Raw genomic sequence first — 12,088 nt, forward strand, 5'->3', positions numbered from 1 at the left:
AATAGGGGGAGTCAAGGGAGTTTGGATAAATTATAGAAGAAGCTCCTAGACAGTCCATGGAGGTATTTGTGGGAGGATGGAATTGGCAACACAGCTGAGATTTTAAAGATATATAAAGTACATCTGTGTAAATGGCAAGCAGTGAGAACACAGAAAAGGTGTTTGAGGAAAGGGCCTAAAGATAAGATAGACCATGACACAGAAAGGAAAGTAAAAATGATTCAGTGACCATCTAGTAGATATCCAATACATATATTTGAGTGAATGAGTGATAGACTGACTATATGAATGGGAAATATTGAAATATAAAGAGGAAGGCCAGAGATAAAGCTCTGAAAGGTAAGCATATATTTTAAGACTTCAGAGTACCTAATTTTCTGAATATGCAAATGAGCAGTATTAGAATTAATAAAAATAACCCTAAAAATGAGAACTCTTGGTTGGAGAAAATAACAAAATATGAAGTAAAGGAAAATTGACAGAATACTTCAAAAACTGTGCCTGATATAATTGGAAATAATGCCTGGAAACAGATTGAGTCCATAATCCTGTATGTGTTCATTAAGGCCAGGAAGATTCTTGGTAAGGAAATGTCTAGTCTGAAAGGTCTAAAGATTTTATTAATCTGTATAATAAATTATATCTTATGAAACTCTTGTCATTTATCCAGTATATTTGAATTACCCGTGCATTACTGTTTCATATATTCATGGTACTTTCATATTTTATAACATTTAAAAATATTTCAATATTCCATTGATTTGAATAAGATTCTTTAAATTACAGTGAAAGCTTTCTGATAAGGTATGGTAAGATTATTTTTCAGTAATTATGCTGATACATATAATAAAGCTACTGACAATTCATAAAGATGATAATACACTTAGTACAAACTGAGCTTCAATGGGATTACTAAATGAGTATGTGAGGACAGAGCAGAGGAAAAGGCCAAGGGTTGAGCACTGTGGTGCTCTATTATGAGAAAGTTAGGAAGGATTAAAGTTGGCACTGAAGGGGATTGAGAAGGAGTAGCTGAAGCGGTAGAAGGAAAACAAGAACAGTGTGTCCTGGAAGTCAGTGGAGTAATCACTTGTCTCAAATGCTGCTAATAGGTCAAATATGGTGAGAACTGAGAACTGGACATTTCATTTAGTAATGTGAAGGACGTTGGTGACTTTCCCAAGAGCAGTTTCAGTGGAATGGAGGAAGACCAATGGAATAATAGGAGCATTGTGGAGGAATAAACCAAAATGTACCTATTTACCATCCAGAGCCAGACTCAGAGCCTTTACTCTGTGCTAGAAACACAATGACCAATTGTTGCATTGTTCCCTTTCCTTGAGCTTTCTACAGCTCACCTCGCTTCTTCAAACATGTACAATCAGACCTCTGAATCTGTGGATTCCACATCCATGGATTCAACTGACTGCAGAAGAAAAATGTTAGAAAAAAATCTGCATCTGTACCGAACATGTGCAGACTTTTTTCTTGTCATTATTCCCTAAATAATATGGTATAACAACTATTTACATAGCCTTTACATTGTATTGGGTATTTAAAGTAATGTAGATGTGATTTAAATAATTTTGAAATATGTGTATAGGTTATATGCACATACTATGCCATTTCATTTCAAGGACTTGAGCATCCTCAGATTTTGATATCCACAGGAGGTCCTGGAACCAATCCCCACAAATCCCCTGAAACTATAACTGATGAGGGGTGATGGTACTTCTTTTTTTACACAGTCAAAATAAAAGAGATTAGGCTTGTTTTTGTTATTTCTCCCCAAATAATGCCATATTGAGCATGACTGGATTTAAGAGGTCCCCAGATGTCTCAGCCACTCATTTACATAAAAATTCTTTGTCCATATCTGTACATCCTTAATCTCAAGCTACACATATGGATTTACTGTTCTGTCTCCTGGTGTCAGCTTACTTTCAATTTGTTTTACCTGTTTCATTGGCACACTTGTAGAGATTGATAATACAAAAATGTTTTAGGAGAGAGCATACCACACATCAAGTTGTCAACTTCATCCACTTCTGCTACTTATTTCAAAGTTTCTGATACTTATTCATGATCTTTCAGTAGCCTTCATTCTCCCATCCATCCATTCACTCAAGAAACTTGTATTGTTAGGGAATGTATTAGAATTATAGCTCTTCAAGCTTTCCAAAACAAATGTAGCAACATAAATAGACAAGCATAATAATGGAAAATCGTCTATACGAGAAATCTAATTATTTTAGGCACAAATCATTTTTTAAAATGTATTCTAAAATAAAAATGCCATTGAGGCACAGAGGTCTTACTAATCTGTAAAGCAAACATGATTTATATAGTATGCTTACATTAGTAAATCAGGATTATTTGGGTGAACAGAGTATAATATTGATATAGTTATTTGGTTATAAAAAGAGATGTTTCTGATAAGGTTTCCCCCCCTTTATTTGCCTTGGAAAACAAATTTCAAAGAAGAGTGTCATTTTAAACTCTAAAAAACCAGTTGATAACCATAGTCTGATATTTGCAGTTGGAATGAATTCCTGTGACAGCATGAACATACACCCACCAACATGTCTGTAATAGAAACCACTTTGGAAGACACTAGAGGCTGCCACAGATTTCTCAGGTCCTCACAGCAAGACAGTGGTGGTCTTGGGGATGGATACATTTCATCTTCCTTGAAGACAGATACCACCCTCTGGCTGTCACCCCATAGGAAATCAGGAAGTATGCTAAGCTATCCAGTGGACTTGGAATTACACTGTGCTGTGCTAGTGGAAATATCCTATCCAACATTATGATTTATTTTGAAGGAGAAAGGAAAAAAAAATACACACAAAACGGTGGAAGGAAGCTGCACACAACATCGCCAAACAGCTGGCTTGTTTTATATCCCAGAAACAGCTTGGGACTAACTATATTCACAAGATCTCTTGGCAGAGTAGCTTGATGAAAATACCAAAGCTGTGAGAAGTGTTCTTTTGCTGAATCCTTCATGTAGCTATCACACGGTTTATTAACCTAAATGAGAATATGTACACCTTTTTTCCAAAAAGGTCCTTTGTATGTTTAAGTGAGAAACTTACTGATTCTTCATACGGCACAAACATGATTCACCACAGCATTCACACCAAATAAACTCTAATAATGTTCAGAAACTATAATCCTAGACATGTAGCGATTTCCTCCTTTCTTTCAAGTAGTATTTTTGGGGACAGTCAAGAGAGAATTTGATAGAAATGTAAGCCTGAGTTCAATGGCACTGGTGACTTTTTTAGGTGCCAAGGTTAATCTCAGAGGGAAATTAGTTTTAATGGCTTCATCCATATATTTATCCATTCTTTTAACATTTAACTCTAACCTCCTTAAGCCAAAAATATAACTCAATTCTAAACACATTTCTGGCTCACCTGCTAGGTGCCAGAAATGCGGATCTTGAGGAATATACAAGATCTGCTTCACTCTTTTAGAATCCCTGCATTAGAGAGGATTCAGTATTTTCAGATTCATATTTTAGAAGACATTGCATTCTATTCCTTACTAAGCATCCCAGGTAGATTCAATTAGGTGGAACATATTCATATTTTTATCATGAGGCATTTTGAGTCTATTCTTTGTGACACCAGAATTAGTTTCTCATCTCAGAGTTTGCTGTATTTCTCTGGTGACTCAAGTAGTTTATTGGCAGTCAGTTTGTAAAAGGCTCCCTGGGATTATCTAAATGCAGGACGTTAGGAATGGAAATATGTATCATTGCCTCTCCTGTCAAAAAATGTAATTAACACACATGATATATCATCTTACAAAGTGGATGAAAATTCCAGTGGGTGACCTTGAGTCACAGCTCCTCAGTGCACACACTGTCCTGTACCCAAGCATCTCCCAGATAGCACAGAACTCCCACTTCCTGCATCCCTGTACCTTTAGCACTGTGTGCATGTTTGTGTGTGTATGTGTGTGTGAGTGTGAGTGTGTATGTGTATTTTCAGTTCAAAATCTACCACTCAATTTCACTTTCTTTAACAATTTTGGTTTGGTTCAATTTGTTGCATAGGTAATAATAATCCATTTACAGAATACAAAAATAGTGTAAGTATGTGCTTCTTCCTATCTGTATGTTGAGAGATTCCTCATTCTTTTTTATGGTTGCAGATAATTCATTATGCAGATATACAATTTATTTAACCAGTCCCATATTGATGGATATTAGGTTATTTCCAGTCCTTTGATGTGACCAAAAAAGATTATAATAAAAAATGCTGAAAGAATAATATTGTCTTTGTCAGTTTGGGCGGCCATAAGAAAGTTCCATAGACTAGGTGGGTTGTAAACAAGAGAAATTTATTTCCCCACAGTACTGGAGGCTGAAAATCTGAGATCAGGGTGTCCGCATGGTTATGCTTTGGTGAGGACTGTTTCGGGGCTTGCAGACTGCTGACTTCTTGTAGCCTCACATGGTTGAAAGAGAGCTAGCTAGCTCTCTGGCCTCTTTTTATTAGGTCACTAATCTCATTCAGGAGGGCTCCACCCTCAGGATCTAATTACCTACCAAACGCCTTGCCCCCAAATATCATCACATTTGGGATTAGGGTTTCAACATATGAATTTTAGTAGGGGGGAGGCAAACATTCAGTCCATTAGCCATATTCAGTTCACCTGTAATATAGTATCTGTATTATTTTATGTCTGTAGAATAATTCCTAGAAGTGGAATTGCTAGCTCAGAATTACTGTGTGTTTCTAATTTTGATAGTTACTGCTCAATTGACTTTCTTGAAATTTGTATCATTTTACAGTTATACCTGTAAATGTAAGAGGTATGTATCTACTCTCTTAGTCTAACCATCAGAGAGTATTACCAATATTTGTGGGGTTTGCCAACCTGAAAAAATGGGAAGTTTATCAGTGTGTTTTTAATTAACATTTATCCTATTATGAGGGAGGATCAGTATCTTATAAACTTTTAACAGTCATTTTAATTTTCTTTTCTTTGAATAGGGCCCTCATATATTTGTGCATTTTGTTATGGTGTTGGTGCATTTCTTTATTGATTTACAAGAGTTCTTTGAGTATTAGGAACATCCTTCCTTTATCCGTGCCAACAGTACCTTTTATTTTGTCACACAGTTTATTCTTCATCAGAATTCTTTGCTCTTGAGAAGTCCCTGTGAGAGCCTGCCAGCCTTCTACACCTTTGGAGGGCAGTTTGTTGGCAATTTCTCAATTTTTCTTTCACATAGAAAATGATCTGACTGAATTTTATTTCTCTTGATGTCAACTGTGCTGAATTATTGTCTTAAAAAATTCACCATTCCATTCAGGTTTAACATATTTTTTAGAGTGTGATTTTCATAGGGTATGTTACATTCTTGATGAATTTTTATCTTCTTGACCTATTAATTACTAAAAAAAAAAATACAGATAACGACAACCTAAAACAACCTATTGAAATATCTCACTGTGATGATAGATTTGTCTAGTTTTCCTTGTAATTTTTGTTCTCCATATTTTAAGGCTATATAATGTGATGTTTTCAAGTACAGAATTATTTTAAGTTCCTAATGGGTTCCTTTTTTAATCTGATATTTTATAACTTTTTCCCCAAGTTTTCTGGTTTCCCACCATACCCCAGATTCTTAAGTAATTTAGGGCACAATAATTTTCAGAGAAAGAATGATTAAGAATTTATGGAAATCTTAGGAAGGTCGAATTGACGCAGTGCCTTGGAAGAGAGAAATATAGGTAGTTGAAGTATAAGGAGAAATGCCTATGATATAAACAAACAAATTGCATGTACATGTATTAAGAAGACTATAACATATATCAGTTACTTCACTAGATGCCAGTGCATAGGCATGTACCTGAATCTGCGTAACTAATTGGGAGAATGGGAAGTTAACTTTATTTTTCCAAGAAAAAGAAACAAAATCAATATTTAAATTTTGGAAAACATAATTGTTAAATTATTTTTCATATTGTGTAGATTCACATCTCTTTAATCAATGGGAGACCAAGTGCCGATGATCCTTCTCCAGAACTGCTAGAATTTACCTCCGCTCGCTATATTCGCCTGAGATTTCAGAGGATCCGCACACTGAATGCTGACTTGATGATGTTTGCTCACAAAGACCCAAGAGAAATTGACCCCATTGTCACCAGAAGAGTAAGTTATGATGAATCATATTAGAGCCTACAAATGATATCCCACTTATCTTTTTGTCTGTTAAATACTTTAAAAATGTTTTCAGTGATTTGTAGGAGTGGTTATTATCAAATTTTTATTTTAGAATTGTAGATTATTATTATTATTATTATTTGAAATTTGACAGACTTTCCTTTGTTCAGATCCAAGCTGTGCCGCTTATTACATGTGTAACATTTATCAAACATTTTAGCCTTCTCAAACTTTAATTTCTTCTTTTGTAAAATGAGAATCACAATGTCTACTTAATAATCTTATTTTTCAGAATAAAATTAGCCTTTGTCACCTTAGGGGATCTATACTACTATTATAATTGGCTTTGGCGAGTTACTACTGGAAGTGCAGGGGCTTTGAAACATTTTTTTGCCACCACTGAGCCAGTATACACACATGCACACATACAGAGAGCAGTATGTCTTAAACCTTAATGTGTATGGGATTAGCCAGTGATCTTGTGGAAATATAGGTTATGATTCAGTAGGGCAGAGCTGAGACGCTGCACTTCAAAAACTTTCCAGGTGATGCTGATGTTGCCGGTTTGTGGGCCATCAAATAATTTGGTTTTATGCTTGATTAATGAATCACAAGCCATAGTTTTAAAAATGCAGTGCTATAGGAGAAAACTGATTCTACATACTGTTTTATTTTCCTTTACAAATAAAATATTAGGGGAAAAAGTTTAAAGCATCTTTTCAAAAGCTTTTTGAACACAAGAGCTAACAGAAGTGCTGTCTTCCAGTGTTAAACAGGAATTTGTGGGATTACAAGATAGATGATCAACCCAGATTGCTATGAGTGATAACCGTGCTTCCTCCTGTCTACCTTCTACCATATTCACTGGTTTATGGCACCTCCCACATATGCTGCTACACAACCAAGGCATTATTACCAGGGAAGTCAATTCAGCCATAACTCTATAAAGTAAACTCCTGTGAATAGAGTATCTACTGTATGACTAGAGGTATAGCTAAGAAAAAAGACTATAGGGAGAAATTAATATTGTAGGACAAAGCATTTAATTCTAGAATGATCCCACTAAGGTAAGACCACCGTCATCGGTTGCAAAATTGCTGAATCACTAGGGTTAATAGTTACAGATCCTAAATACTCCTCACATGTTTTCTTTCCTCGTTACTTAACTTCCCACACCCAACCTCTCCATCATCACAAGATAACTTTTAAGGCTTTAGTTAGTCCCATGCAACATATGTCAGATGTTTTAGTGCCCTGTATTTTCCAAACTTGAAATAATTTCCCCTTGTATTATACCTCAACATATTGTAAATTGTCTCATGCAAAACTAATCATTATTTTATAGCAATGTTTGGATTTTTCACTTGTTTAAGAAAACATTTTCAATTCTAATTTTGGCGGGACTTAAAAATATACACCAAGGAAGACTGGTGTGAAATTGGAGTGAAATTTAATCTTTCTTGACAGTATGTCTATCAGAGAAAAAAAATCAATGAAAATAAATTAGTGTTCTTTCTATCATCTCTTGCAGGAGGTAGAGTGGGGGTTGGGGTACACATCTATTATTTATAACTTTATCGTACATGAGTCTTTAAAATAATGCAGTATAAGTCAACATATAAATATGTTTTTTGAAAGTACTCAAGTTCAATAAACACTCATTTAAATATATAAAAATAAGATAGCAAATTTCAGCTCTTCTTCATGACTCAAAAGCAAAGCATTATACATTTATATTTAAAATAGATTTCCCAGTTTTAAAAGCATTTACAAATACTACTGTATCAGCTTTTTAAGCAAATATCTCTATTTGTGTCTATATTATTAAGTGATGAGGTTAAATGGAAAAAATATTTTTATACTATCCAAACTCCCTAGCCAGTTCCATTAGTTCAAGGTCTAGGTATATCAAATAAGATAACATAACAAAAATATTTTCAAAGACACTATATGTATGTAACAAAAACAAATAGAAGGAAAAAGAAACAAAGAAGTAAATTGGAAAAAGGGGATTCTTAGTCAAGGAACTCAGATATGTGTCCACCTACATATTCTAGCTAAATCTGTTTTTTTTGTGTGTGTGTATAATTGGAATAATAGAACTATCTAACGCTAAGATGATTATTTGAATATGATAATGTAAAGTGCTCTGACAATTATAAAATGTTATATACACATTAATTAAAATTTTAAAAATAGTCTAGCCTCCATAATTATCCTTAAAAAATAGCTGGGTAGATTAAAATAATTAGTAACATAGCTCTATGTTAACTTCATATACAAAGGTAATTGTATGGACTATATTACATAGTAATATAAAAATGCAAATGTTCTGCACAATAAACTTACAGTTAATGACTTTTTAATTTTCTTCTTAATATGGTTAAGGAATATATTGTTATGAGCACAATTTCTACCCAGATTTTGTTGGTTCTTTTCAAATCCATCAAGTAAAACAGTGTGCGTATGATTTGTGAATACTGCAGTTGCTATAATCACAATAAAAGAGGGTTTCTTGCAAGAAACTATGTAAAACAACTTTTATGAAGAATAGCTGTCCTTAGCCCCAGATAAAAACTACTGTCAGCCACAGGTACTCTAGCATGGACTTGGTGCTGACTGGGAAAAAGATATTTCTAAAATGCCCAACTAGCTTAAATTAAAGGCCACTCTTCCTTTGGGCTAAGATCACAGTGCTAAGAGTTACTTTGTCAGTTTTGTGAGTCCTCACTTGTCCTCAAGAAACACAAATGTCCTTCAAACTAAGGATAAAAGCAGAAAATAAAGTTTTTACTGAATGTCCCCTTTTGTTACTTTGACCTTGCAGTCATCTTAACAGGATTTCTCTCTGGATTGCTTTTTGCAGTATTACTACTCGGTCAAGGATATTTCAGTTGGAGGGATGTGCATCTGCTATGGTCATGCCAGGGCTTGTCCACTTGATCCAGCGACAAATGTATGTATATTTATAGGATGCTTAGGCAAAATGAAGCCCTGAGCTGTAAAATGTTTCATGACAGTCTTTGCTGACAGAGAACGCTGTAAATGGGAGTCAGGTCCCCACTTAGACAGTGTAACAGAAATCCATGCCAGGGTGAAATAAGAGCTGGCAGTTAGGATGATAGACTTTGAAATCAGCCATCACAGTATAAGAAAACAGATTAGTTTTTCCTTTTTTTTTTTTTTTTTCAAAAAGGCTCCAAACTGGTCTATTTTGAAATCTCTCTAGCTATGACAGCCTGCCTCATGATATAGCTTTAGAGAACGCCTGCCATCAATCAACCTGACCATTTCTTTTAAAGTTTCTAATCAAAAAATTAATGCAAATGAGTAAAAAAATGTGCAGGGAAGTAAATATATAAGTGACAATGGAACAGGAGGATAAAATAGGGCAGGGGCAATAAGGGGGTGGAGGGGGTGGAGTGGGTGAGAGAGTCAAGAGAGTACTGATAGTGGCAAGCCGGAAAATGCCAGAATGCTTTTTGATAGAATTTTTTCATTAATGACAATGAATTAAGTGAACATAACCTAAAGGAGAAGATGAATGAGCATCTATTTTTCCTGTCATAGACAAACTGGTGAAATTCAAACTCATCTCCTGTATAGTATATGGAAAAATACATTGAATAGTAAGATCAGTGAATGTAAATCGGGCCACAGATTTTTTTTCTCAAATATTGTAATGCAAATGACATTATACTCAAAGCTAGTTTTCTGATGATTGGATTATAATGTTATCTCCTAGGAAGATTAAAGTACACTAACATATTTTTATGGGCAAAGCTGCAGTGCTGCTTTCTGCCTGGTATGGGTGCTTTCTTCTTTTTTTTGTTTTCCATTTTTTAAAATTTTACTTTAAATCCTGGATACTCGTGCACAACATGCAGGTTTGTTACATAGGTAAATGTGTGTCATGGTCATTTGCTGCCCCTATCAACCCATCACCTAGGCATAATTTTCCACAGGCTTTACAGAGTCCCTTTGTCTCACTGGCTTTCTGCATTTTAAAAATCCCTTTACTGTTATTTTATTTGGAGGAAGTGAAAAAATGCATATGCCACCATAGAATACTACGCTGCCATAAAAAGGAATGAGATCATGTCCTTTGCAGGGACATGGATGAAGCTGGAAACCATGGTCCTCAGGAAACTAACACAGGAACAGAAAACCAAACACTATATGTTCTCACTCATAAATGAGAGCTAAACAATGAGAACACATGGACTCAAGGAGGGGAACAACACACACCAGGGCCTATCAGATGGAGGGAGGCAAAGGGAGGGAGAACATCAGGACAGACAGCTAATGCATGCAGGGTGCTTTCTATCAGGTGTACAGATGATCAGTGTTTCCCAGGCTTTAAAAGTCCACAAGACAGGCTTGGAAGGCCAATTCCAGGTGGTAAATTGAGACTGTATTCAGAGCATGCACAGACAGGAGATTTAGTCCTAGAGACATTAGATTTCTGGTTTACCTGCACCCCTAGAGGCCTAGGAATCAACTCCCTCCTTCTTGCCATATCCAAAAATATTAACAACATTTTGAGGGGAGCCTTAAAACAAGCTAATCGACCCCCAAAAAACACATAGATCCCAGGCATCAGAGAAGGAGAATTCAGTCTTCAAGACCACTCCCAGCTGGGCCTTCCTGCTTTCTTCTGAGCCTAAACCCAGTGATTAAAGAACCAGCCTGGACTTCCTTAAGGTGATGTTGATCAAATATACCCACTTCAAGCCTGGCACCACTTTCTTCCCAGGCTGGCTAGTTTTACATTTTAGTACACAGTCCAGATGTTTTCTCTTTTCTTCATAGTACCTTTAGAGAGAGGCTTCCTTTATGGTTCTAAATGAGGCTAAAATTTGTGCTTCCTCCCTCTTTTTGACTAGAAATCTCGCTGTGAGTGTGAGCATAACACATGTGGCGATAGCTGTGATCAGTGCTGTCCAGGATTCCATCAGAAACCCTGGAGAGCTGGAACTTTTCTAACTAAAACTGAATGTGAAGGTATGTTCTTTAGAAGCCAACAAAATATGTCATTCTTCCTTTCCAAGAAAAAAAGCCAGTAATGAAAAATAGTGAAATGGCTGGTTATGCAAATGTGTCAACAAATACTCATTTATATTATCACTTCGAAGACAACCCATATGTCTAGCTTTTCCTAAAGGGAAATATCTAAGAAATGTAGCAGATGACTTTATAGCCTAATAGTGACAACTGGTCTTTTTAGGTGACAGGTATCATGGAGAAACCTGTGTTTCTGGAGATTTTCTCAACCCAAGAAAAGACCTAAAAATAGTCTTGGGCTGAACTGCAAACCTAAACTAGTATGAAGTCCAATTCAACTGAATGCAAATATTAATATTACAGTAAATCAGCCCTAACCACATTTTTTTCAGCTCACTAAGTATATATGGCCTTCAAAAACAGCTTGATAGACATTTTAAATTAATACCAACACTATATATCCTTTGAATAACAAATTAACTCAACTCACATTTATCATGTACAATGTGTCAGACATGACAGGTCTTTAAAACTATTGAATCATAACACACCTTAATCACAAAATGTTCCCCACCTATAAGATATAAAGTCGGCCTTCCATATCCATGGTTTCTCCATCCATGGGTCTAACCAACTGCAGATCAAAAATGTTTGAAAAAAAGTTGCATCTGTACTGAACTTGTAAAGACCTTTTTCTTATTATTATTTCCTAAGCAATATAACAACTATTTATATAGCATTTACATTTTGTTAGGTATTATAAGTAATCTAGAGATGATCTAAAGTGTACAGGAGGATGTGCATAGGCTGTATGCAAGTACTATGCCACTGTATAACAGGAACTTGAGTATCCTTGAATCTTGGTGTTTGAGGGAGGTCCTGGAACCATTCCCATGGA

General features: G+C 35.4%; 1 protein-coding gene across 2 annotated transcripts in view; it reads left to right on the forward strand.

The window, feature by feature from the left end:
• The window catches only part of LAMA2 (laminin subunit alpha 2), a 633,429-nt gene that overhangs the window by 254,769 nt on the left and 366,572 nt on the right, over positions 1 to 12,088 (forward strand). For both annotated transcript variants that reach the window (NM_000426.4, NM_001079823.2), the window contains exons 5-7: positions 5,995 to 6,174; positions 9,053 to 9,142; positions 11,073 to 11,190. In NM_000426.4, the coding sequence (NP_000417.3) occupies positions 5,995 to 6,174; positions 9,053 to 9,142; positions 11,073 to 11,190 (388 nt within the window). The remainder of the gene's footprint in view (positions 1 to 5,994; positions 6,175 to 9,052; positions 9,143 to 11,072; positions 11,191 to 12,088) is intronic.

Source organism: Homo sapiens, chromosome 6, assembly GCF_000001405.40.
Source record: "Homo sapiens chromosome 6, GRCh38.p14 Primary Assembly".
Classification (NCBI taxonomy): Eukaryota; Metazoa; Chordata; class Mammalia; order Primates; family Hominidae; genus Homo; species Homo sapiens.